Source organism: Homo sapiens, chromosome 15, assembly GCF_000001405.40.
Source record: "Homo sapiens chromosome 15, GRCh38.p14 Primary Assembly".
Classification (NCBI taxonomy): domain Eukaryota; kingdom Metazoa; phylum Chordata; class Mammalia; order Primates; family Hominidae; genus Homo; species Homo sapiens.
This window is the reverse complement of record NC_000015.10, coordinates 84380361-84407709: the sequence shown is the minus strand read 5'-3', so window position 1 is coordinate 84407709 and position 27349 is coordinate 84380361. Positions and strand designations below refer to the sequence as shown.

Here is a 27349-nt window from a genome sequence, read left to right as displayed (position 1 = left end):
AGCAGCTCAGAAATGGTAAATCCTTCATGAACTGGCTCTGCCCACCGGCTCCTTCCAACCATGTTTCCCACCACAAGCCCTCACTGGCCCTTTGTGCTCTGACTGCACTGAACTGCTTTCAGTTCCTGGCCATCTTATGGTCACTTGCAGCCAGGCCTTTGGTCATCACACTCCTCCTGCCAGGTGTGTGACCCACCCATTCCCTGTACCTGCCGAACTCTAGTCTCTCCTTGAAGTTTCAGTGTGGGCATCCCCTCCTCCTCGGCGAGACCCCCTCCTGGGCCCCCATGACCCCTGCGCATCCTGGTGGCACTGCACCAATTTATCTGCAGCACCACTGTCTGTCCATGAGAGTAACAGCACCAGTACTGCCTCAGCTTCATTTTTCCATTTCATCCTTCAAGACACCACAAGCTTTATTATCAAGGAGTCTTGTGGCTCCTACTTGAGTCTTACCCCATACCAGGAAGAGTTTAAGAACCCAGGGTCTTAGTCCAAATTTGGGGCAGGCTGGGTGCAGTGGCTTATGCCTATAATCCCACCACTTTGGGAGACCAAGGTGGAAAGATCACTTGAGCCTAGGAGTTCAAGACTGGCCTGAGCCACACAATGAGACCCCATCTCTATTTTAGAAGGAAAAAAAAAAACAAATTAACAAATTTGGGGCAGCCATCTCTTTCCACACCCCAGTGGGAAGAGGACTAGGGCTTGGTCAGTCTGCTGCTGTCATTGCTGCTCATTGCCACAAGGTGTCACTGTTGAACACCTATGTGGTGCAGTCTGGTGCTGATGGCTGCTGAGCTGTGCAGGTAGTGATGCCACATCCCTACAGAGATGCACCATACCAGGACTCCAAGATCATGGTTCTTAGTGTTCTGGTTCTGCAGTTCCCATACTCTGCCATCACCTATTCTAGCATCTGGGAGCACCATACCAGAGCCATTTCTTGTGTCAATGTCATGGTGACAGAACTATGTCCTTCATCTCTCCTTGAGATATTCCTCCACCACAGGTCAGGCAGCTTTTTTTTTTTTTTTTTTTTTCCAGAACACAGAGCATCTGCCTGGGCTCCCTGTCCCTGAACAGTTAGCCTGGCTTCCTTCAGTGACCTCGAGAAACTTTGCCAAACTTAGGGGGACTGATCAACGGATTCTCAGTTACCCATTATTCCAGGGGTGAAATCTAGATTCCAAGACAATATTTCTGGTGCTTCTCACTCAAGGAAAGAGGAGGAGAATTTAAAAATACAGGTTGGGTTTCTAGAAGAGCATCTTGCTATATGTCAGTTCCTTGTGGGCAAGGACCACATCTGATTCACACCAGGGTCCCCAGAGCCCATCCAGGCCTGGCCCAGAGTTTCCTTTGGTGAGTGTTTGGAGGATGAATAAAGAGATGGCAGGAAGGCAAGAGGAGTGGCACCAGAGGCCCTTGTCCTAGGTTTTCTGCTCTGGGGCCCCCTGTGGGGAACCCACTGTGCTTTTATAAGGGAAATGATGGATTCAAAGTGCTGCCCCCCATCTCCCATTCCCCGTCTCTCCTCAGGTCAGGCTTGTCCTGGGCCAGGAGGAGCTGAGGCTGCAGACCCCAGCAGAAATTCTACTGAGTGACTCCGTCCCCCACACCACAGTTCTGACTGTCTCAGAGGACTGGCCCACATTGTCAGTCAATGGGTTTCTGAATGCCTCCTCTGTAGTCCTGGGAGCCCCCCTAGAAGTCCCCTATGGGCTCTTTGTTGGGAGCACTGGGAGACTTGGCCTGCCCTACCTGAGGGGAACCAGCCATCCCCTGAGGGGTTGCCTCCATGCAGCCGCTCTCAATGGCCGCAGACTCCTCCAGCCTCTGACCCCCAATAAGCATGAGGGCTGTGCTGAAGAGTTTTCTGCCAATGACGATGTGGCCCTGGGCTTCTCTGGGTCCCACTCTCTGGCTGCCTTGCCTGCCTGGGGCACTCAGGATGAAGGAACCCTGGAGTTTACACTCACCACACAGAGCTGGCAGGCACCCTTGGCCTTCCAGGCAGCAGGCTGGCATGGGGACTTCATCCATGTGGACATATTTGAGGGCCACCTGTGGTCCATGGTTGAGAAGGGCCAGGGTACTGTATTGCTCCTCAACAGTGTGCCTGTGACTGACGCACAGCCCCACAAGGTCAGCATCCACATCAACATTCACCAGCTAGAAATCTCCATGGACCAGTACCCCACACGAACTGAGGAGTCCTCAGCTACCTGGAGCCACGTGACAGTCTCCTTCTTGGGGAGCTGGTTGCAGAGGCCTCTCATCACCTCCAGGAACACCGCTCAGGCCTGACACCAGGGGCTGCCAATGCCTCCCTGCTGGGCTGGCTGCATGGAAGACCTCAGTGTCAATGGCTAGAGGCAGGGGCTGTGGGAAGCCTTGCTGACGCACAACATGGTGGCTGGCTGCAGACTGGAGGAGGTAGACAATGCCTATGGCCATTATGAAGCTTTCTCCACCCTGGCTCCCAAGGCTTGGCTGTCTGTGGAGCTAGCTGAGCCATGCGTGCCTGAGCCAGGGCTACCTCCTGTCTTTGCCAATTTCATCCAGCTGCTATCAGCGCAGTGGTGGTGACCGAGGGTGGCACAGCCTGGCTTGAGTGGTGGCATGTGCAGCCCATGCTGGCACTGATGGAGGCTGAACTGCGTAAATCCCAGGTGCTGTTCAGTGTGACCTGAGGGGCACACTACAGCGAGCTCGAGCTGGATGTCCTGGGTGCCCAGGCATGAAAAATGTTCACCCTCCTGGACGTGGTGAACTGCAAGGCCCGCTTCATCCACGATGGCCCTGAGGACACCTCTGACCAGCTGGTGCTGGAGGTGTCAGTGATGGCTTGGTTGCCCATGCCCTCATGCCTGCGGAGGGGCCAAACAGACCTCCTGCCCATCCAGGTCAACCCTGTCAATGACCCACCCCACATCATCTTCCCACATGGCAGCCTTATGGTGATCCTGGAACACACACAGAAGCCTCTGGGGCCTGAGGTTCTCCAGGCCTATGACCTGGACTCTGCCTGTGAGGGCCTCGCCTTCCAGCTCCTTGGCACCCCCTCTGGCCTCCCCGTGGATCACCGAGACCAGCCTGGGGAGCCGGTGACTGAGTTCTCCTGCTGGGAGTTGGAGGCCGGCAGCCTAGTCTATGTCCACTGTGGTGGCCCTACACAGGACTTGACATTCCGGGTCAGCAATGGACTGCAGGCCAGCCCCCCGGCCATGCTGAAGGTGGTGGCTGTCCAGCTGGCCATACAAATCCACCGCAGCACAGGGCTGCATCTGGCCCAGGGCTCTGCCATGCCCATCTTGCCTACCAACCTGTTGGTGGAGACCAGCGCCGTGGGGCAGGATGTGACCGTGCTGTTCCATGTCACCGGAGGCCTGCCGTTCAGGGAGCTGCAGAAGCAGGGGGCTGGTGGGGTGGAGGATGCTGAGTGGTGGGTCACACAGGCGTTCCACCAGCAGGATGTGGAGCAGGGCCACGTGAGGTACCGCAGCACTGACCCACAGCACTACACCGAGGACACCGTGGAGAACCTGGATCTGCAGGTGCAGGTGAGCTGGGAAATCCTGAGCAATCTGTCCTTCCTAGTGACCATCCAGAGAGCCACTGTGTGGATGCTGCAGCTGGAGCCACTGCACACTCAGAACACCCAGCAGGAGGCCCTCACCACAGCCCACCTGGAGGCCACCCTGGAGGAGGCAGGCCCAAGCCCCCCAACCTTCCACTGTGAGGTGGTTCAGGCTCCCAGGAAAGGCAACTTTCAACTACAGGGCACGATGCTGTCAGACGGTCAGGGCTTCACCCAGGATGACGTACAGGCTGCAGAGGTGACCTATGGGGCCATGGCACGTGCCTCAGTGGCAGTGGAGGACACCTTCTGTTTCCATGTCACAGCTCCACCATATTTCTCCCCACTCTGTACCTTCTCCATCCATATTGGCGGTGACCCAGACATGCCTGTCCTCACCAATGTCCTCGTGGTGCCCGAGGGTGGTGGGTGTGTCCTCTCTGCTGACCAGCTCTTCGTCAAGAGCCTCAACAGTGCCAGGTACCTCTATGAGGTCATGTAGCAGCCCTGCCATGGGAGGTTCTTAGCGTGGGACACAGGACAAGATCACTATGGTGACATCCTTCACCAATGGAGACCTGTTGCGTGGCCAGCTGGTCTAGCAGCATGATGACTCCGAGATCACGGAAGATGATATGCCATTTGCTGCTGCCGCCAGGACCAGAGCAGTGGTGACGTGGCCTGGGAGGAGGTACGGGGCCATCCAGCCTGTGAATGACCACGCCCCTGTGCAGAGCATCAGCTGCGTCTTCCATGTGGCCTGGGGTAGGTGGCAGCTGCTGACTACAGACAACATGGCCTTCAGCAATGCTGATTCGGGCTTTGTGGATGCCCAGCTGGTGCTGACCCACAAGGACCTCCTCTCTGGCAGTATCATGGCCACGGATGAGCCCATGCAGCCCATCTGCTGCTTCATCCAGGAGGGGCCTCAGGAAGAGGCGAGTCCTGTTCACGCACTCAGGCTGACTACAGCTGGATCCTGCTGCAGGTGTCCGACAGGCAGCACCAGGCCATCATGGTGCTGGAGGTGCAGGCCTTGGAGCCTTACCTCTGTGTGGCCAACGGCTCCAGCCTCATGGTCCCTCAAGGAGACCAGGGTACCATCAACATGGCCGAGCTCCACCTTGGCACCAACCTCGACATCCGCAGCGGGGATGAGGTCCACTACCACGTCACAGACAGCCCTCGCTGGGGACAGTTGCTGCAGGCCACTCAGCCAGCACTGCCTTCTCCCAGCAGGACCTGCTGGTTGGGGCCATTCTCTTTGGCCACAATGGCAGCCTCAGCTCCCGCAACACCCTGGCCTTCTCAATGGATGTGGGGCCTTCTCAATGGATGTGGGGCCAGTGCACACAGATGCCACCCTACAAGTGACCATTGCCCTAGAGGGCCCACTAGCCCCACTGAAGCTGGCCTGGCACAAGAAGATCTACATCTTCCAGGGAGAGGCAGCTGAGATCAGAAGAGACCAGCTGGAGGTGAGGAGCTGGGGGTGGTGAGTGGAGGTGTGGACCAGGTAGAGGGCCTTCCTCCCAGCCTCCCTGCCGGGAACACATGTGACTTGGGTTGTGCCTGTGGTGGTCCCAGGTTGCGTGTGTGCACGTGCCTCAGATGTGCTCCCATATATGTTGTGTTCCCAAGAGTTTCTGGGGAGCTTGCTGTACACCCATCCTCCGGGGAGTGGTGTGTGCCTCTAGAGATGGTGCCCACTCATGTCCATGGCATGGCTGAGCGTGCAGATTCCTGGACCCTAGCCAGCCCTACAGAATCTCTGAAGTGGAGCCGGAGAATCTGCATTGCAGTCAGTTCCCTGGGTGGGCATCACGGGTCCTGAACTTTTGGGATTGCTGGCTGTGGAGACAGGCCGCTGCCCCTCAGACCCCTGTGTACCCCGCTCTCTTCTCAGAGCCCAGACCAGGACTAGGAGGGTGTGTCAAGGGCTTCTGCTCATCCAGGAACCCCACAGAGCAGCCATGGGCCTTCCAGAGATCTCACTGACATGCCCTGTGACCTCAGGCCAGTCCTTGCCCGCTCTCAGCCTTACTCTCCCACACTGCTCATTTCAGAGACCCTTCTGGTCTGCATCTGGAGCTTGGGGCCCAAGGTGAGCCAGCAGATCTGGCATCAGGAAGGCCTCATGGGAGGAGGCAGTGTTTGGGCCCGGCTCTGAAGAGCACAGGCCATCGGGAGCAGGGAATGGGGAGTGGTATTCCAGGCAAAAGGAACATTCCGGGCAAGGGTACAGAACAGGAATGTGAGTTTGGGGGCAGTTCACAGGGGAGGACCTGGTGAACTTCACTCAGGGAGAGGTAAGGGCCCCACTCTGCAGTCACCACTCAGATGCGCCCAGCCTCAGGTGGCCACTGTGCCATGGACATCATGTGGACATGGGCACCAGCTCCAGCATCACTGGCAGCAGACACTCCCGGGCCTGCCATGGTCCAGGGCCCTGGCGTCCTGCCCTCCAGGAGTCATCAGGCTGGCGGGGCAAGTTCATGTTCCCAGAAGGAGGGAGAAGGATGCAGGAAGTCGGGGATACAGGGCCCTAGAGCAGGGCTGGGGTCTTGGGGTGTGGTTTCCAGAAGGAAGTTAGAGCTGGACCCAAGGGTCTGGAGAGGGAGAACCATGTAGGGGCACTAGTGGCACCCCAGTAGCTGGTGAGGGGCAGTGCTTGGTGGGGGATGGAGTCGGAGGTGAAACAGCTGCTGGGGCCTGTGGGCAGAGGTGTGAGCCTGGGGCTCAGATCAGGTGCCAGCCAGAGGCAGAGTGGATCCTAGGAGCAGATGAGCTGATGAAAGGCAGCTGAGTCGGCCAAAAGGGGGAAGCCACTGTTCATCTGTCCTGGTGGCTTCAGAGAAGAACTAGAGCTCTCAGCCATGGGTAGTGGCAGACTCTCTGTGGTAATTGTGCCATGGGGGCCAGAGCAGTCATTGTTTAAATGAACACCTCTCCCCAAAGGCAGAACGGGAGTTGTTCCATAGCAGGGCAGACTCTTTTGTGGGCCGTCCTGGGCAGGCAGCATACCTGATGCTCCCACCAGGAGGCTGCGTGAGCATCTGGACCCAGCACATGATCACAGTGAGTTCTGGGCAGGGAGTGGTCTTGTGGGACGCAGAGCTGTCTCTGTCATTCAGGAGCCACGGCATGCAGCACTGCCCCAAGTACCTCCAGAGGGGTCCCCCTGCCAGCCCTTGAAAATGGCAGAGCCCACCCCTAGCCCCCTTTTCAAGCTCCCTTGCTTGGGCAAGGACAACCTGAGCCTGGCACTCTCCCTCCTGAGAGGTGCAGATGGTACTCAGCAAGTGCAAAGCCGAGGTTTCTTGGGCCTCTCACATCAGCACCTCCCAGACCTGGGTTCTGTATTTCCCCGGAGCTCCACTCCTGCTATGGTGCCCTCCCCACAGTGAGATATTCATCAGGCTGGTGTCTACAGCTGCTGCGTACCCTCAGTTGCTGGGAGCCTTCATCAAGAATGCCGAGGAATGAGGAGGGCACGGGACCAGACCATCAGCAACCCTCTTGCGCTCTATAGTCCCACGTTACTCAGAGCTTCCCCATGCCCTAGCAAGATGAAGGACTAGATTGAATGGGCACCAGGGGGCCAGGCTGGCAGTGCCACCCAGGAAAGCCGGGAAGAGGCTCCATGGGCTACCTGGCCCACTCAGGGAGGAGGGCAGAACTGGGTATTGTCTTGACAGCAGCCCTGTCCCACAACACCGAACGGGGCAGGGAAGGGGTCAGGTGTCCTCATTTTTCAGATAAGAAAACTGAAGCTCCTGGAGGGCAGGTACCTGTATGCAGAGCACATGGCAAGTAAGAGGCAACACTTCTGCTGGCAAGTCCAGGATTTCTGGCACCAGAGGACACTGCTTGCTCCCCAGAGCTCGGGACCCTGTGTTTTGTCTCACTCCCACTCCTGGAGGCCGAGGTGGGAGGATCACTTGAGCCCAGGAGTTCGAGACCAGCCTGGGCAACATAGGGAGACCTTGTCTCCACACAAAAATTTTACAAGTAGCTGGGCTTGGTGGTGGCACGTGCCTGTAGTCCTAGCTACGCAAGAGGCTGACATTGGAGGATCACTTTCAGCCCAGGAGATGGAGGCTGCAGTGAGCAGTCATCACTGTACTCCAGCCTGGTGACAGAGCGAGACCCTATCAGTGCCCCCTTCCGAAAAGAAAACTGAGTAAACAGGTGTCTTCTTGGCGTGATAGGTCCTAAGTCCGCTCCCAGATCTGTGACATTTGACAGGTGTCTTTTCCTCTGGACCTCAGTGTCCCCATCTGAGTGAGAAAAGGCAGTGGGGAGGTGGATCTTCCAGTCGAAGCGGTATAGAAGCCCGTGTGAAAAGCCTTACTCCAAGGGGCTCCAAGTCCAGCACACAGTCCCAGTAGGGCAGCACAGGCATCAGGTCCCGACCTTCTTTCCTGTTTGTCCACTCTCAGACCACGGAGTTCATCATCTCGGAGCCACTGGCCAATATGTACTCGCGTGGGAACCAGAACACACTGATGGAGGAGTGGGCAGAGTAGGCACAGTGGCACGACGAGATGCTGCGCATGCACCACGTGCTGAAGGAGGCGCTCAGCATCATCAGTGACACCACCAGGACCACCGTCAGCATGCCCATGCCCCTGCCCGCGGACGACACCTGGGTGCAGGTGCAGAGCATCTCTGAGGAACAAAGGTGCCAGGGCCTGCCCCCCACAGCCCCAAAGTACCCCCCGCCCGGGCCGCACAGAGGGATGCCCCTGCATCGGGGTGGCTCCCACCTGGAGTGAGGGGTGGAGCTTGCCAAGGAGCACTGGCTGCGGGGCGGGGTGGAGCTGGGATGTTCTCACCACTGGGGTCTGGGCTTAAGCTTGGGCGACTGCCTCGGGGCACGGCAGGGAGGAGCTTCCGTGCATGGGTGTGGCCGGGGCGGGGCCTCAGGGGGGCAGAGCCACCCATCTCTCCCCTCCCTATGCCTTGCAGGTCGCCCAAGTCCAGCCCCAGGATGCCCAGACCCCACCATGTCCCTAGCCCGGCCTGGGTGGCGGGGCCCAGCTCTTGGGCTTCCTCTTGCCAGGTCCGCCCTTGGGGAAGCGTGCCCCGTACCCTCCAGGCTAGAGGCTTCCCCTGATCCCTTCAGCCCCTACCCCGCCAAGTGCGCTCATGCCCCACGCGGGGTCTCCAAGTGAGTAGGGGCTGAATGCAGCCAAAGAGGCTGCTGGACGGGCGTGGCCGGGAAGGAAATGGGACTGGAGTCCAGAGCATCAGACCTGGCCGCCTCCATCCAAGGCATTGGGACCATGGGTGCCGGAGCCACGTGTGGCTGAGGGCTGGCGGAGCCTGCTCCCCAGGGAGCACTGATTCCTGGAGGTGGTCGTTTTTGAGGGGGCTGTGGGGCTTGTCTTACCTGCCCCCTTCTGTCCAGCACTTGCATGGCACTTCCCTCTATTTTCACTCTTGGCGGCTGCCCACACGTTGCATTTCTCTTCCTTTCTTCTTCTCGCTGTCCTCCATCCTCCATTCTGTCCAACTCCTATCCCAGCCCCTGGGGAGCCTACCTCAGGTCTGAGAGTCTGGGTGTGTGGATTTCCTTCAGCTACCCGGATGTCCCCACAGGCAATCTGATTTTTTCTCCACATCTGGACCCCTCCCCCTCTATCCCTAACCCTGTCTAAACTAATGGCGCAGTGGTAGCTGCAAGGGCAGGGATGGGAGTGGCTGAAGCCTACTTCACTCCCAAAGATTTCTAAGGAAAATGGTTCTACTGCATCCTTTGGCTGGGCCTTGTTGACCCGTGACCCTCTTCCAAGAACATTCACTCTGATTTCCAGTGTGCCCTGTTTCCCTTTCCAAATGGCTGGAGAGTGGGGCTGTAGGTCCAGCGCCCATATACAAAAATGAAGCAGGGATTGGGGCTTGCCCTATGACGTGCTGATGACCAAGTTAGATGGGTATAGGCAAGCAGCATAGTATTGGGCAAGATCACTGGACTGGGAGTCCAGAGATGCTGCTTCACCCTGGGGCTTTAAGCAAGTCCCTTTCCCTCCCAGAGCCTCAGCATCCCTTCTATGAAATGACGACATTCTGCCCTTCTCCTAGGATGGCTGTGGGGATCAAGGGAGACAGTGGTCATAGGGATGCTGTGTTAACTGCAGATGCGGCCATAGGAGCACTTTGCTAACTGCCAACATAATTTCACACTTTTCAGGCTATTTGGCACCCAGATCTATGGTGAGGTGTGACATATGGGATGTAAGGTTTGATGCCTGCTCCGACTCCAGTCTTGCTAACACAAATGAAACCTTTGGCAAATCATGACCCTGCCTTGGGTAAAAGGGCAGTCTGGGAGAGTTTCTTCAAGGCAGCCTGGCTTCAATGCAGTCCAGGGCATGACTGAGATAGGCATACGTTGTGAGGAACTGGAGGGTAACTGGGTAAAGAGCTGCAGTGTGGGCAGAGGTGTAGTGTGGGTCACATCAAGGATAGCCACTGGCCAAAGCAGGGAACAGAGACAGAATGAGGAAGAGCTCTGTGGGGAGGGTGGGGCACAGGGTGGAGAACCTTCAAAGTCCAAAGAGTATGACTTGTTGGGATTCAACGCTGTAGGCAGTAGGGAGCCATGGAAGGCTCTTAGGTGGAGAAATGACAGCCGGACATTAGTGAGCAAGCCCTGTCTCCGTGAGCAGCATGGGTGGTCCTCTGAGCACGCCAGGCACGAGTGTGCAGGCAGCTGGTGCAAATGCCTCTGTGTGCGGGTGATCATCTGTGTTGTGACTCTGCCCACGCATGTGCTTCAGTGTGCCGTGTGGCTGCATGCCCCAGATCCACGCGGCACGTGCCGGCCAGTGAGGGTGTTGGGCACCGGGAGGTGGTGGGGAAGGCGACGTATGCGTGTTGTTTGTGGGCATGTGTTAGAGTGTGCATGCGGGCCGTGGGGCCTCACAGCATGTGTGTGCACACTCGGGCATGTGCGTGTGTGTCCCCCACCCCCAGGCCTGCCCATTCCTTCTGAAGCTGCAGACTTGCTCTTTCCTCTTTCTGTCCTTGTGCTGCTGGCTGTCTCACTTTGCTCCCTGTGAGCCACGGGACTCAGTGCCAGTGCTCAAGGTCTCCAAGGCTGAGCCTGGGGGCTCCATGCCCAAGCTGGCAGATGTGGAGCCATCAGAGAGGGCACAGAGCTCATGGTTTATGCTGTGGGGGGCTGGACTCAGGCGGCCAGAGGCCTGGGAACATCATCCTGGGCACGCCGTACCTGTCACGCAGTCTGAGTCATGCTGCCAGGGCAGGTATCCAGCTCCCAGCCTGGGAGTGCCGAGAGCTAAATCCACGGCAGATTAGGGGTGATAGTCAGGGTCCCACGTCCTCTATCTGTCAGCAATCTAGTGGTGATCTAGGATAAAAGCCTGAGAGTCCTATACACATGGTTATCCCACAACACACTTCATAGGCCATGCAAGGACACACAGCCCCCTTCCCTCCCTCCCAGGTACCATCATAGCTGCTAGCGTGTGACTGAAGGCAGGGTCCCTGGCCCCTGCTGAAGCACTACTGCTGGCCAGCAGGCTCACGCACCTTGGCCTGTTGCTTCTAGGGGTCGCCTGTGATATTCAGCCAAGGGGCCCACAATGTATGCTGGCCTAGCTGAGCTCCGCCTAGACAGCTCACTTCCCTTTACTGCCACAGAGTCTCCCTCTTCTACTTTTCCCAGCAGGAAGGGCCCAGCCTCACCTATGCAACCTGCAGCCCTCCACCAACCAGTTGAGGCTCCCCTGTTAGACTTAGAAGTCTATGGCCAATGGCATCCAGCTACCTGCCCTTCCTGCCTTCCCCAGGGTCCCTCAGAGGACCCTGGGCTTTCAGACAGCCCAGAGGGGCCTCTGGCATTCACTCCAGCCAGCCATCCCTTATAGCTTCACCATTTTGGTTCAAGCAGTGTTCCTTCTGTCAGGCTTGGTGGCTGTTGGGTGGGGCTCCCCAAGCAAGAGGTGGCCCTGGGCCAGTGCGTTGGAAGACGGTGACCAGAGAAGCGGAAGCCTGAGGGGGTTGAGCATTGGTCTGAACTGTGGGTGGACTGCCTGGGTGCCGTGGGAGAGGCCAGTGTGTGTGGGGTGGGGAGGGCTGCCACAGCCCCCAGGCACTCCAGCTTCTCCCTCCATCTTCCTCCCCTTTCCCTTCCAGCCCCTTTACCAGGAACCTTGCCATGCCCACACCTACGCCCTCCCCTCCCCGGCTCTTAGATGATGGTGGTGTTTATCTCCCTGTTCTCGGCAGCCCAAAAAGAATGGCATGCAGGGGTTGCTGCCCATGCCTGGGTGCTCCTGGGGAGTCCTGCATTACAGGAAGCAGCTGCTGGATCTGCTGTGCAGTGGGGTTGTCATGGGGAGAACCCTCCCTGTCCTCTCCTGGTACAGCCTCCATGCTATCAGTGAGGCTCACCTCACAAAGATCTTCAGAGAGAGAGAGAGAGAGGGGGGTGGGAATCTGAGCACAGTTCGATCCTCCCCTGCTCCTGCCTGCCCACCCCGCCTGAGGGCTCTACTCCCCACCCTGCTTGTCCGCACACCCAAGCTCCCGGGCGATTGGGGCTCCTAGAGTGGGCTCATCAGCAGGGTTCTGGGCAATGGTCAAAATTTGCCATGCCCCTCCTTGTGGTCGCCCACAAGCTGCAACACCTGCCCCGCAGCTCCTGCAGGTTCACCTGGAGGAAGGGGTGTTAGCTGCCATGCCGGTGCCGGCACGCACGTTCACCCCCACCCCCACCCCCACCGAGATGTTGCACACCCTACCTTCATCTCCTCCTGGTCCTGGGCCAGCCTGACGATGTCCTCCTCTCCCAGTGCTGCGTCTCTGACACTGCCCCCTGGCTGATGTACTTTCCTGCAGGAGGACATGGCTCAGATGCTGGGGCCCCTCGGATGGCCTGGCAGCTCCCCCCAGCGGTGCCCTAGCCTCTCGCTCACTATGGTGTCTGTCTGTCCTGAGAGGTGGATGAATTGAAGCTCCAGTTTCTCCACTCGCTCCTTCAGGTCCACCTTCTCCTTCCATAAAGTCGCTGTGGAGCCAAAATAATGGGGTCACATGTCAGGAGTCACCTGCCTTGTCCCGACCCCACCCTTGTTGGCCCATGCCAGGACTACTCACCTGCAGCTTCTCCATGGCCCCCTGCAGGGCCTGGTGGGTCTCCCCACACACAGATTCACCCCCAGTCTCTGGGGCTGGGGCCGCTACCTCTGGCTTTTTCTGGGACGAGGCCACTGGGTGAGCCAGGGGCTGGCAGCACACCCTTTGCTCCTCCTGGGCATTGGCTCCAGCGGAGTTGAAAAATGCCACCTGAAGGCAAGAGGTGAGTATTCTTGTAGGGGTATACACATAACAACCGGGGCAGGGAGATGGAGCATAGCCCCCTCCTTTCGGGCCTCACAGAGTGCACCTGTTGGTCACAGGTGAAATGGTGTCTGACCACTGGCTCCCAGGAGGAGTGAAAGTCCACAGAAGTCAGAAGGCGGGGAAACCAAGAACATAAGGGGGTTTCGGAGGGACCACAGAGGAAGGTGGCAAAGTAGGGGCAGGGAAAGTCAGGCTCACCATGGCCTCCCGGCTCTCCAGGTCCCCTGGGATGTTCGGCATGGGCCGAGGCGCCTCCTGCTCACTGTCCAGATGTCCTCCTCCATCTCCTGTGGGGGGTGGCCAGAGGGGTCCTCAGACAACCCAACAAGGGAGGTACAGTGGGCCCGCCTCTGCCCCCACACTCACTGTGTAACCTTGAGCCAGCCCCTCCCCAGAGGGGAATGAGCTGTTCTTTATTTTGAATTTTAAGAACCAAGATCTTGCTATATTGCCCAGGCACAGTCCCACTACCGATTGGTGCAGGAATTCTGACCTGCTCCCTTTCTGACCTGGGCCAGTTCTCCCATCCTTAGGCAAGCCGATGACCTGTTCCCAGGAGGTCACCATACTGATACCGAACTTAGTGCGGACACCCAGTTGGCATAATGACCAGCTGTCTTAAAGGTCTCTTCCAACTCCTCAATCCTACGCTGCTAACAGTCCCCCTTTCCTCCTGGGGCTCTCTCCTCTTCCTCTGAGTAGTCTCCCATACCTTCCCCAGGGAGAGCCATGAGGCTCAACTGGGCTTTAGCTGCTGTTTCTACTGGCTGGTAGCTTCCAGGTTCTCCTAAGGGGCCAGGAAAGAGGGTGAGAAGGTACAGAGGTTGCCAGGTTGTCCCTCTTGGAGCCCTGTCCTCAACAACTCCCTCCCCTGGGTCTCCTGCAACATTTGGCGGGCCCTCTTAGCCACCGATTTGCCCCGAGCTTCCTCCTGCTGCAGCTGGTCCATGAGCCAGGTCTGCAGCAGTAACTGCCTGTGCAGCGCCTCCTTCTCAGAGGCCAGCTGCTGACAAGCAGCCACCTGCTACTAAGCAACCACGAACTGCTGCAGGTGACACAGGTACTGGTCTTGCTGCTGCTGCTGACTCTGAGCCTCTTGGCTCTTCAGCTCCACGTGCAGGAAAACCCTGGGCATGAGGGCATGTGGTGGCTGGCTTCCAGATTCCTGGCCCATTAATAGGGTAGCGAGGGCACTGTGGGGCTCTGTGGCCTGCCCAGGCCCCTGGCCCCTTGCTCCAGGCGTACAAGACTGCCTCCTTTGCCTAGAACCACATGCCTCCTTCCACAGCCTCAAATCTCATGTCCTTTTTCCCAGCATTTAAACTGTAGGCCACAGACTGGTGGAAAAGCAGGGGCAGCCAACCACCATCTGCTAAGTGTGCCACATACCTAATGTTTCCAAGTATTATCTCATTTAATCCTCAGCACCTCTGCAAGGAAAAGGCTAACTTCCTTTTGAAGTTAAACAGAGACTTAGAGATGCAAAGTAGTTGAATTATGACCAGTGGAACCGAGGCCGGAATCCAGTATGAATCTAAGGAGTCTTTTTTGTTTTTCTATTTTGTTTTAAGAGAGTGTCACTCTGTGTCTCAGGCTAGAATGCAGTGGTGCAATCTCAGCTCACTGCAACCTTCACCTCCCAGGCTCAAGTGATTCTCGTGTCTCAGCCTCCTGAGTAGCTGGGATTACAGGCATACACCACCAGGCCCGGCTAATTATTTTTTTTTTTTTAATTTTAGTAGAGATGAGGTTTTGCCATGTTGGCCACGCTGATCTCAAACTCCTGACCTCAAGTGATTGTCCCACCTCAGCCTCCCAAAGTGCTGGGATTACAGGCGTGAGCCACCACACCCCACCAAGGAGCCTCTTATACCACTGTCTCTTCCTCTGTGATTGGGGGGGCTCCATGCCTCTAGCTGGGATGATGATGTCCAGACCTGGGAGGAGCCCAGGGCTACCCACCTCTAAACATCAGAGGGCAGGAAGCAAGAAACAGTCATAGGACTGCCCTGGAGGGTGCTGGGGTCACCTGCCCTCAGGCTGCAGCTGCCTCTGTCCTGGCACCTCCCCTTCCCAGAGGCTGGTGACTGCCTCCCAGCCATTATTGGATGGGTCACAGGTTACCGTCTCTTTCAGCTCACCAAGCTTCAGCTCCTTTACTTGCTGCTCCAACTGCAGTGCACTCTTGTTCTCATTATTCTGGACAGAGAGAAGCAATCAGTGGCCACCCACTAAAACTGGAGACCCCAGAACTTGGTGTCTGCCTCCCATGGCACCGGGAAGGGTGGAGGCAGGTTAGAAAAATATCCCCTTTCTCCCACAGCCATCAGAGCAGGACTCTGGCTCACAGGTGCCTTTAGAAGTACCATTTCATGTGAAGGCTACAATGCCCCATTTTACAGGTGGGGAAACAAAGGCCTTGAGGGCTAGGGAAGAGGGCAGCCTCCCCAGGTGGGGCAACGCACCAGCTCCTCGAAGCCGCTGTGGGGCTCGGCCCGCTGCTTGTAGAGGGCTTCCCACCCCAACTCCAGCATCCTCTCCAGCTCCCGTAGAGTCTCCTGCTGCCACAGCCTCTCATCCTGCTCCCGAAAACCTCTCCTGTTCCAGCAGCTCCTCCACCTTGTCCAGCAGCCTCTCCTGTTCCTCCTGCCACCCCTCCTGTTCCTGCAGCCTCTCCTCCTGTCTCCTGTTCAGGAGACTCAACATCTGATTGTTTTCCACCTCAGCCTGGAGCTGTCTTCCCACACTCTCCAGCTCCTTCCTTAGGTGGTTGGTCTCATCTTGGAGCTGCTCCACCTTAGAGGGCCGTGCTGGGGGCTCTGGGGCCAGGGGTTCAGCTGAGAAAGGAAGCAGACAATAAGGGCCTCTGGATAAAAAAAAAAAAAAAAAAAAAATCCTCCCTTCGGTGCACAGCTCCTCCTCTCAGGCTTCCCAAACTTGGCCTCACTGCTAATGACTCCTCACACCCGGATGGTAGCCAATCTTCCAAGTCACTTTCAGATAGCACTGTGGGTGGCTGACAACGGGCACTCCTCCCTCTTTACTGAGAGGGACACTGAGGCTCATGGAGATGACAAGACTTGCCATCTCCTGGCACAGACCTCTTTCCCTCTGCCTCAAAGCCCTTCCATCTACCCACCTCCCCGGGGCATTCTAAGTCACCCTCACAGCCCTCTGATGCCAGTCCTGCTCCTAGGTCATGGCAGCCCCATCTTACCCGTCTGGTTTTTGAGTTTGAACAAGTTCCTCCCAAGCTTCTGTACCTGATGTATCTCATGCTTCTCCTCTTTCAATGTGTGAACCTGCCTAAAGCAGAGGGGAAAGGGCCCTGCAGAGAGGGGCTGCTGAACCTCTAGAGACAGAGTTTGAGAAAGGCCCACCCCCCTTCTGCCAGCTTACGATTGAGAAAGGTGCATTCACTCAACAAACATTTACTGAGCACGTACAGGCCAGGTACAGTTCTTCATAGCAGAGATATAAGACAGCAAAGGACAGACAGGAGCCCTTGGTCCTGAGGTTTCCATTCTAGGAGCCTTTAAATCTCTGAGCTAACAGTGACCTTTGATACTCTCTACCTCCTCCAGAAACACGAGCCTAAGGAGGAGAGATGGCTTGTCCAGACTCAAAAAGCAAATTAGGGACTGAGGCAGGGCAGAAATACGGGCCCCTGAAAACCAGTCAGGCTAGTGCTTTCCTGAGAGGTGACAACCCCAGGGCATGTGTGGCAAGGACTAGAGCAGGGGTGTCTGGAGAAGAGAGAGTCAGCAAAGAGGGCAGTGCAGAAGAGCCATGCTGCATGTTCTGTGCTCTGGGGTCCCTCCAGGTGAGACCTGGGTGCCCAGCTCCCCATTTGCCCTTGGCATCAGGGGCTCCTAGCCCCTTTCTTCAGGGCCCCAAGAGGAAACTGGAGTCCAGGATTCACAGGCTGGAATCAGGGGACCCCACTGGACTCTTACCAGTGAATTGATGTTTTCAGTGAGTTGACTGATTATTGTGGAGCTTGAATCCAGGGCCACTGCTAGTTCTTGGTACTGGCTCTGAGGTGCATGCAGAGAGGAGGAGTTGGAGGAAGATTGTGGGGAGGGGTAGAGAGAATAATCATTAGGGCTGGTGGGGGTGTGTGGGCTGCCTCAGCTGGCAGAGGGGCAACAAGCCCCTGCTGTGGGAGGAGGTTGGAGGGCTAGCCTGCAGGGTCACTGCACCTCGGCCCAGGGCCTCTTACCTCCAGATCCTCCAGGGTAGCAGATGATGCACGGCCCTCCCCGTAGATACCTGTTGCTGACTGCAAACGATGAGAGTGCACATGGAGATGTCCTGTCCCCCCTCACTGTCTAAGCCCTCTGATTTCCTTTCTTCCCCATCAACTGGCAAAAGCTTCTTTTCTGCCTATCTTGGACCCTTTTTCCCATAACTCCTTTGTGCCAACTTCTCTCATGGTTCTTATCTCCCCACCATCCCACCCTGGGGCCCTTTCAGTGACTCCTAAAGGGACAGCCTGATGGCAAGTGGCTCTTCTCATTGGCCTGGCTTCCCCTTGAGACTGGGGATGAGGAAAATCAAACAACAACCATTTCCTGGGTGTCCTGGGTGTTTGCAGCAGGCCATGTACTAAGGATTCACATAAAAGCAACAATAACGAATCTCATTTACACTTCACAAATGGAAGTCAAAAAATACCACCTCTATTATGGAGATGTGAAAAGAGAGACCCAAAGACCTCAAACAACTTACCCTAAATCATAGGCTAATCAATCCCTAATCAATCCTTAGCAGACGGAGAGGCAGGATTCAAACCCAGAATTCTTAACCAGTACCCAACAGTCCATCTACAATCTTAACAATTACCCTCTACTGCCCCTTGGGCCCCCTGTCCCCAGGACCCTGGCCAGCCAAGACTCACATCCCCAGGTGAGTGGTAACCACCAGAAGTGGCTGTGTCAGGGCTACTGCCATTGATTTTCTTTTTCCTGTTAGCTCCTTCTGGAATGCCAGGGCTCTTCCTCTGCCAATATTCTTTTAACTGTGGGAAAGAAGAGTAGTAACACTCATGAGAACAATCAGCCCCTATAGCCACATCCTCCTTTACAGTTTTGACAAAATACTCTTATACACCATCTGGTTTAATGCCACCAACAACTGTACAAGGTGTTGTCACAATCAGTTAGTGACTGAGAGGGATTGATATCATGGATAGAAAAAAAAAAAGGAGGAAAGAAAAAGGCAATACTGGAACTTAAACTCAGTCTTCTGACTCCAAGCTCTGGGGTTTTGCCATGAATCAGCAGCTTCCAGGGACCAAAACCAGGGACAGAGGTAGAAAAGTAAACATTAAGCAGGCAGGAACTGTAGGCCGTGTGGTTTAGAGTCATACATCCTCACAGGTCTGTTAGCGTGAAGAAGCGTACCAGTACCTCTCACTTTCATATCAATGTGTCCTCATGGCAGAAGGCAGCTTTTCTGTTAAATCTGGGAATTTATCAGAAAGAGGACAACCCAAGCCTCATTTTAGAGAGAAGTCTGCTATACACTTGGAAATCTATGTGTCTATCATCCCTAAGGACATTAATGTTTATTAAACTCTCAATAAACAGTAATGTTCTTAGGGATGATAGACACAGAAGTTTCCAAGCGTATACCAGACTTCTCTCTGAAATGAGGCAAAAGCAATGGCAACAAAAGCCAAAATTGACAAATGGGATCTAATTAAACTAAAGAGCTTCTGCACAGCAAAAGAAACTACCATCAGAGTGAACAGGCAACCTACAAAATGGGAGAAAATTTTCGCAACCTACTCATCTGACAAAGGGCTAATATCCAGAATCTACAATGAACTCAAACAAATTTACAAGAAAAAAACAACCCCATCAAAAAATGGGTGAAGGACATGAACAGACACTTCTCAAAAGAAGACATTTATGCAGCCAGAAAACACATGAAAAAATGCTCACCATCACTGGCCGTCAGGGAAATGCAAATCAAAACCACAATGAGATACCATCTCATACCAGTTAGAATGCCAATCATTAAAAAGTCAGGAAACAACAGGTGCTGGAGAGGATGTGGAGAAATAGGAACACTTTTACACTGTTGGTGGGACTGTAAACTAGTTCAACCATTGTGGAAGTCAGTGTGGCGATTCCTCAGGGATCTAGAACTAGAAATACCATTTGACCCAGCCATCCCATTACTGGGTATATACCCAAAGGACTATAAATCATGCTGCTATAAAGACACATGCAACAAGTATGTTTACTGCAGCACTATTCACAATAGCAAAGACTTGGAACCAATCCAAATGTCCAACAATGATAGACTGGATTGAGACAATGTGGCACATATACACCATGGAATACTATGCAGCCATAAAAAAGGATGAGTTCATGTCCTTTGTAGGGACATGGATGAAATTGGAATCATCATTCTCAGTAAACTATCGCAAGAACAAAAAACCAAACACAGTATATTCTCACTCATAGGTGGGAATTGAACAATGAGAACACAGGGACACAGGAAGGGGAACATCACACTCTGGGGACTGTTGTGAGGTTGGGGGAGGGGGTAGGGATAGCATTAGGAGATATACCTAATGCTAAATGACGAGTTAATGAGTGCAGCGCACCAGCATGGCACATATATACATATGTAACTAACCTGCACATTGTGCACATGTACCCTAAAAGTATAATAATAATAAAATTTTAAAAAAAGAACATTAATGTTTTTTCTCAAGAGAATCAAGGGAAAATGATGCTTCAGAAAGATGTCCCACATTTATCCTGTGACACTCAAAGTACCCCAGGTTGAGATGATATGAGGAAGATTCAAGCTCTCAAGTTCAGTTTCCCAAGATCTATTCCACAGAAGATGGGCAAATCTCACCTCAGAGACCACTGACTGAAGGGCAGTCTGGTCCCAGAACTGTGGAGAACTCGGAAAAAAATGTCAAAGTCTCTGGAAAGTAGAAGCCTGTGAGAAAACCAAACCTTACCCATTCTCCCATTGCCACCCAGAGATACTGTCAACATTTGGAGCTCACAGGGGAAGTGTAAGCTTTTCCCACTGTCAATTAGACATTGTTAAGGGAGTAAGGCAGCCTGAAACTTCTTGCTCATAGGTCCCATAGTCCCCACTCCCCTTCCATCTGGCAATTTGTGCTGCAACCAGAGGAACCAGAAATGGAGTGAGAAAACTTAGGGGACTGGGTTGTAAGATCAAAGGCTGGTCTTGCAGCAGTAATGACAGTTCCTAGGGGCACTGTGACATCACTGCATTCCACTCCTCCCAGGGGAGGGGACATCAGTGCGATGCCAGAGTCACCGCTCCATGTTGTGGGAGGGAAATACAGGGTTTTGACCCAGGTCCTCGGAGATGCCAGCCCAAGAAGCCCAGGGAGGTCGAGCTTGTGGCAGCAGGAGGGGAGGGCAGAGTCTGCAGTAGGGAGCCCCAGGAGTCACCAGCCCAAAGTCACCCAGGGATGACTGGCGAGGGTGGGGCCTGGGGCTGGGGGACCCAGGTCCTGGGAGACACAAGCCCAAAGAGCCCACGGAGGTTGGGCTTGGGGCAGCAGAAGGTGAGGGCCAAGTATGGAGCAAGGAGCCCCAGGAGTCACCCGCCCAAAGTCACCCTGGGGTGATTGGCAAGGGCAGGGACTGAGCGGCTTGCTGAAGGGGTGGGGCTGACTGAGAAGACTTTGGTGGGGGGAGCCCAGAGGTGCTGGGGTTGGGGGGCCCAGTCTGGTATGCCTCAGGAGTGGTATGGACTCTGGCACCGGTCTTGTCATCGGAGGGGATCTGTGGCTGGGTTGGGGGCCATGACCTGGTACATTTTACCTTTTGAGATATAGATCATATAAAAATGGAAAATCCATAGCATGCTTGATGATTAATGAAGCAGACTATAGTATCCAGCATTCCAGGAGGATAAAATAATCACAATGATTTCTCTTTTTTGGAAAAATGTTTGTCTTATCCTCCTACATTATTGTTAAGATTTTTTTTAAAACAAGAAACATGTGTAATATCTTTAAAAACACAAAGCTTTTGGGCCGGGTGCAGTGGCTCACGCCTGTAATGCCATCACTTTGGGAGGCTGAGGTGGGTGGATCGCCTGAGGTCAGGAGTTCGAGACCAGCCTGGCCAACATGAAGAAACCCTATCTCTACTAAAAATACAAAAGCTAGCCAGGCGTGGTGGTGGGTGCCTGTAATCCCAGCTATTTGGGAGGCTGAGGCAGGAGAATCACTTGAACCCAGGAGATGGAGGTTGCAGTGAGACAAGCTCATGCCACTGCACTCCAGCCTGGGTGACAGAGCAAGACTCCATCTCAAAAGAAATAAAATAAAATAAAATACAAAATAAGTAAGAACACAAAGCTTTCAATTTAATAAGCACTTAAAGCTCTTTACTGGTTTAAAACAAATACAAGGCCCATTTTTCTAGAATCACCTGGCCTCTCTAAGCCTTGCAAATGAAACTGAATTTCTCACTTGATACCTGGCTATGACTTGCAATCATGAAAACCAAGAATTGTGTTATGTCACTGTGTACTGCTTGTTACCTGAAATCCACACTAGGCTGGGATCAAGGGTTGAATCTTTCATGATTTTCTCCATAACCTGTGTGCTTCTTATCCCAGACTGAACTAAGCTTTTTTCTAGAGTTCTACAATTTACACTTAATAGACAAGAGTGGTTCTCAAAATGTAGTCTATGGACTAGCAGCACCAGCAGCACCTGAGACCTTTTTATAAGTGCAAATTCTCAGGCCCCACCCTGGACCTGGTGAATCAGAACCCTGGAGTAGGGTTCAGCAATCTGTGCTGCAGTAATCCCTCCAAGTGTTCAAGAACCTCTGGCATACAGCAGGTAGTAAAATGTGTTTCCTTCTGTAGGTCCAAAGCCAGGGTTTACCATATGTTCTGCCTTGTTATGAAACAATGACATGCAATTAAAAGACAAGAATCTCCTTCCTACTCGCACCCTCCATCCAATGTGTTTTATTTGTATGAGTTCCATAAGAAAAACAAGCGGCAATCAGAGATTTAGTCTAAAAAGTATGTTTACAAGTGTCCGTTCTCATCCAGCCTGATCTCCTACAAAACCGTTTACATCCTCTTACATCTCAAGTTTTAAAAAAGTATCTTCACAATGTAAGACTCACGCACACTAGCAGTTCTATAATAAAACACCAAGTAGATCAGAATGTCCAACCTTACTAGAGAAGAAAAGTGGAATCATTGGCCATATTTTCAAATTGCATTCAACAGGAAATTTAAGTTTTGAATTTTTTTCACCTTTATACTTCCAAAGTAATAGAATTAAACCAGAATACGCCATTCTTTCAAAGCCTCTAGCCAGGCAAAGTTTTACTGTATTATTTCTTGCTTTCAATGGATATAAAGCAGATTCCTGGTAGGCACATTCTGTATACCTGCAAAGATGCAGAACTAAACAGTTCCATCTGTTCAATATTAAACCAAAAGTCCTGTAGACCTCGGATGGTGAGTGTAATACTTCAGCACTAGCCCAAAACCTCAAATATGAAAAGATACCAAGAACACCACTAGCAAACAAAACTAAACTCTCGGTCAGGAGCAGTAGCTGACACCTGTAATCCCAGCACTTTGGCAAGCCGAGGTGGGAGGATTACTTGAAGTCAGGAGTTCAAGACTAGCCTGGGCAGCATAGAGAATTCATATCTCCACAAAAATTTTTAAACATTAGCTGGGTGTGGTGGCACATAGCTGTAGTCCTAGCTACTTGGCAGGCTGAGGTGGGAAAATTGCTTGAGGCGAGGAGTTCAAGGCTGCAGTAGCTATGATTATGGCACTGCACTCCAGTCTGGGTGACACAGCGAGACTTAGATAATTATATTTTCTCCTGCTCCTGTTTACACTAAAATCACGAAGTTAAAAGGCTTTCAAATTTGGCAGGATAAAAATTAAGTGATGTGTGACTTTGGAGCTTGGCTAGTGAAAGAAAGAAAAAAAAGGAAGGAAGGAGGGAGGGAGGGAACAAAGAAAGAGAAAGAAAGGAAAGGAAGAAAGAGAGGGAAAGAAAGAAAGAGGAAAGAAAGAAGAAAGAGAAAGAGGGATGGAGAGAAAAGAAAAGAAAGCAAGAATAGAAAGCAAGAAAGAAAAGGAAAGCAAGGAAGGAAGAAGAAAGAAACAAGGAAAAGAAAAAGAAAGAAAAAGAAAGAAAGGGAGAGGAAAGGAAAAAGAAAAGAAGGAAGAAAAAATGAAATGACAAATTACTTACTGGGAGAAAGTTTTGTCACCTCAATGACAGATAAAAGGCTTGTATCCTTAGACTATAAAGAAATCTTTAAAATTACTGAGATAAAAAACAAATGATTTTCAACCAAAATGGGCAATGGAGAAACTGGCACTTCTCACAAGAATAAAAATGGCCAATGGCATATACAAAGATTCAAAAGCACAAGAAATCGAAGAAATGTCATGAAAACAATGAGATTTTCTGTATAAAGGCAGGAAAGATGACAAATGGAAAGGGGAACCTGGAGCTCTGTCCTTGTTGGTGGGAGTATAACCGGAGTCACTTTTCCTGGAGAATGATTTGAAAATTTCTATTAAAAACCCTAAAAATTATTTTCCTCCAGAAATTCTACTTCTATGAATTCAGTCCAAAAATGTTTGCTCGAGCCCATTAAAATGAATGTATAAGAAAATTCACCTCTGGGGTGGCAGTGATTAACTTAATATACATCCAGCTATTAAAAATGATGATGCCAGGATATATTTACTGCCACAGAAATATGCCCAAAATATAGTAAGTGACAAAAGACTACATATTGTGATTCTACTTTTTAAAAGGTTTATGTGCAGAAAAACATATAAAAAGCAACAAACCAGAATGTTTTGAGTGGCAAATTTAAGATTTTTCTTAATATTTGTCATCTAAATTATTACAAAAAGAATGATTTCCTTTATAATGAGGGAGAACTGTTATTTTCATTTTTTAATTTAAATCTCTTTTCTTTTTCTGATTTTTTTCTCCTGTATGTATCCCATGTAGGCTAGAATCCCTGCCTCTTGAGGTAAATCAGCCCATTTTTGGGAAGTGCGCTACAGAAAGCTGCCCCAGCTTCCTTTTAAGAGACCTGGAGACATTTTTGTTTCAAATTGTTTTATTGTTCTCAGATTAGCCTAACTGGGAGGCACCCCCCAGTAGGGGCAGACTGACACCTCATACTGCCAGGTACTCCTCTGAGACAAAACTTCCAGAGGAACAATCAGGCAGCAGCATTTGCAGTTCACCAATATCCGCTGTTCTGCAGCCAACGCTGCTGACACCCAGGCAAACAGGGTCTGAAGTGGACCTCCAGTAAACTCCAACAGACCTGCAGCTGAGGGTCCTGACTGTTAGAAGGAAAACTAACAAACAGAAAAGGACATCTACACCAAAAACCCATCTGTACGTCACCATCATCAAAGACCAAAGGTAGATAAAACCACAAAGATGGGGAAAAAACAGAGCAGAAAAACCGGAAACTCCAAAAATCAGAGCGCCTCTTCTCCTCCAAAGGAATGTAGCTCCTCACCAGCAATGGAACAAAGCTGGGTGGAGAATGACTTTGACGAGGTGAGAGAGGAAGGCTTCAGAAGATCAAACTACTCCGAGCTAAAGGAGGAAGTTCGAACCAATGGCAAAGAAGTTAAAAACTTTGAAAAAAAATTAGACAAACGGATAACTAGAATAACCAATGTAGAGAAGTCCTTAAAGGACCTGATGCAGCTGAAAACCATGGCATGAGAACTACGTGATGAATGCACAAGCCTCAGTAGCCAATTCAATCAACTGGAAGAAAAGGTATCAGTGACTGAAGATCAAATGAATGAAATGAAGTGAGAAGAGAAGTTTAGGGAAAAAAGAATAAAAAGAAATGAACAAAGCCTCCAAGAAATATGGGACTATGTGAAAAGACCAAATCTACATCTGATTGGTGTACCTGAAAGTGACGGTGAGAATGGAGGCAAGTTGGAAAACACTCTGCAGGATATTATCCAGGAGAACTTCCCCAATCTAGCAAGGCAGGCTAACATTCAAATTCAGGAAATACAGAGGATGCCACAAAGATACTCCTCAAGAAGAGCAATTCCAAGACACATAATTGTCAGATTCACCAAAGTTAAAATGAAGGAAAAAATGTTAAGGGCAGTCAGAGAGAAAGGTTGGGTTACCCACAAAGGGAAGCCCATCAGACTAACAGCTGATCTCTCTGCAGAAACTCTACAAGCCAGAAGAGAGTGGGGGCCAATATTCAACATTCTTAAAGAAAAGAATTTTCAACCCAGAATTTCATATCCAGCCAAATTAAGCTTCATACATGAAGGAGAAATAAAATACTTTACAGACAAGCAAATGCTGAGAGATTCTGTCACCACCAGGCCTGCCCTAAAAGAGCTCCTGAAGGAAGCACTAAACATAGAAAGGAACAACTGGTACCAGCCAATGCAAAAACATGCCAAATTGTAAAGACCATCGAGGCTAGGAAGAAACTGCATCAACTAATGGGCAAAATAACCAGCTAACATCATAATGACAGGATCAAATTCACACATAACAATATTAACCTTAAATGTAAATGGGCTAAATGCCCCAATTAAAAGACACAGACTGGCAAATTGGATAAAGAGTCAAGACCCATCAGTGTGCTGCATTCAGGAAACCCATCTAACATGCAGAGACACACATACGCTCAAAATAAAGGGATGGAGGAAGATCTACCAAACAAATGGAAAACAAAAAAAAGGCAGGAGTTGCAATCCTAGTCTCTGATAAAACAGACTTTAAACCAACAAAGATCAAAAGAGACAAAGAAGGCCACTACATAATGGTAAAGGAATCAATTCAACAAGAAGAGCTAACTATCCTAAATATATATGCACCCAATACAGGAACACCCAGATTCATAAAGCAAGTCCTTAGAGACCTACAAAGAGACTTAGACCCCCATACAATAATAATGGGAGACTTTAACACCCCACTGTCAACATTAGACAGATCAATGAGACAGAAAGTTAACAAGGATATCCAGGAACTGAACTCAGCTCTGCACCAAGTGGACCTAATAGACATCTACAGAACTCTCCACCCCAAATCAACAGAATATACATTCTTTTCAGCACCACACGTACTCCAAAGTTGACCACATAGTTGGAAGTAAAGCACTCCTCAGCAAATGTAAAGGAATAGAAATTGTAACAAACTGTCTCTCAGACCACAGTGCAATCAAACTAGAACTCAGGATTAAGAAACTCACTCAAAACCACTCAACTACATGGAAACTAAACAACCTGCTCCTGAATGACTACTGGGTACATAACGAAATGAAGGCAGAAATAAAGATGTTCTTTGAAACCAACAAGAACAAAGACAAAACATACCAGAATCTCTGGGACACATTCAAAGCAGTGTGTAGAGGGAAATTTATAGCACTAAATGCCCACAAGAGAAAGCAGGAAAGATCTAAAATTGACACCCTCACATCACAATTAAAAGAACTAGAGAAGCAAGAGCAAACACATTCAAAAGCTAGCAGAAGTCAAGAAATAAGTAAGATCAGAGCAGAACTGAAGGAAATAGAGACACAAAAAAACCCTTCAAAAAATCAATGAATCCAGGAGCTGGTTTTTGGAAAAGATCAACAAAATTGATAGACTGCTAGCAAGACTAATAAAGAAGAAAAGAGAGAAGAATCAAATAGACGCAATAAAAAATGATAAAGGGGATATCACCACCGATCCCACAGAAATACAAACTACCATCAGAGAATACTATAAACATCTCTATGCAAATAAACTAGAAAACCTAGAAGAAATGGATAAATTCCTGGACACATACACCCTCCCAAGACTAAACCAGGAAGAAGTTGAATCTCAGAATAGACCAATAACAGGCTCTGAAATTGAGGCAATAATTAATAGCTTACCAACCAAAAAAAGTCCAGGACCAGACGGATTCAAAGCCGAATTCTACCTGAGGTACAAGAAGGAGCTGGTACCATTCCTTCTGAAACTATTCCAATCAACAGAAAAAGAGGGAATCCTCCTTAACTCATTTTATGAGGCCAGCATCATTCTGATATCAAAGCCTGGCAGAGACACAACCAAAAAAGAGAATTTTAGACCAATATCCTTGATGAATATTGATGCAAAAATCCTCAATAAAATACTGGCAAACTGAGTCCAGCAGCACATCAAAAAGCTTATCCACCATGATCAAGTGGCCTTAATCCCTGGGATGCAAGGCTGGTTCAACATACGCAAATCAATAAACGTAATCCAGCATATAAACAGAACCAATGACAAAAACAACATGATTATCTCAATAGATGCAGAAAAAGCCTTCGACACAATTCAACAACCCTTCAT

At 51.4% G+C, this 27349-nt stretch overlaps 1 protein-coding gene and 4 pseudogenes across 1 annotated transcript in view; 2 read left to right on the top strand and 3 right to left on the bottom strand.

Annotated features, from left to right (window-relative positions):
• On the top strand, positions 1542-5264 carry CSPG4P5 (chondroitin sulfate proteoglycan 4 pseudogene 5; annotated as a pseudogene).
• DNM1P51 (dynamin 1 pseudogene 51) lies at positions 8020-8268 on the top strand (annotated as a pseudogene).
• LOC100288367 (golgin A2 pseudogene) lies at positions 12365-15795 on the bottom strand (annotated as a pseudogene).
• On the bottom strand, positions 13374-13638 carry RN7SL417P (RNA, 7SL, cytoplasmic 417, pseudogene; annotated as a pseudogene).
• Positions 15847-27349, bottom strand: part of LOC105376722 (uncharacterized) — a 31396-nt gene continuing 19893 nt past the window's right edge. The window contains exons 3-5 of the mRNA XM_047433431.1: positions 17859-18049; positions 17181-17240; positions 15847-16995 (exon numbers count right to left, since the gene is read on the bottom strand). Of these exons, the coding sequence (XP_047289387.1) occupies positions 16831-16995; positions 17181-17240; positions 17859-18049 (416 nt within the window). The 3' untranslated portion in view covers positions 15847-16830. The remainder of the gene's footprint in view (positions 16996-17180; positions 17241-17858; positions 18050-27349) is intronic.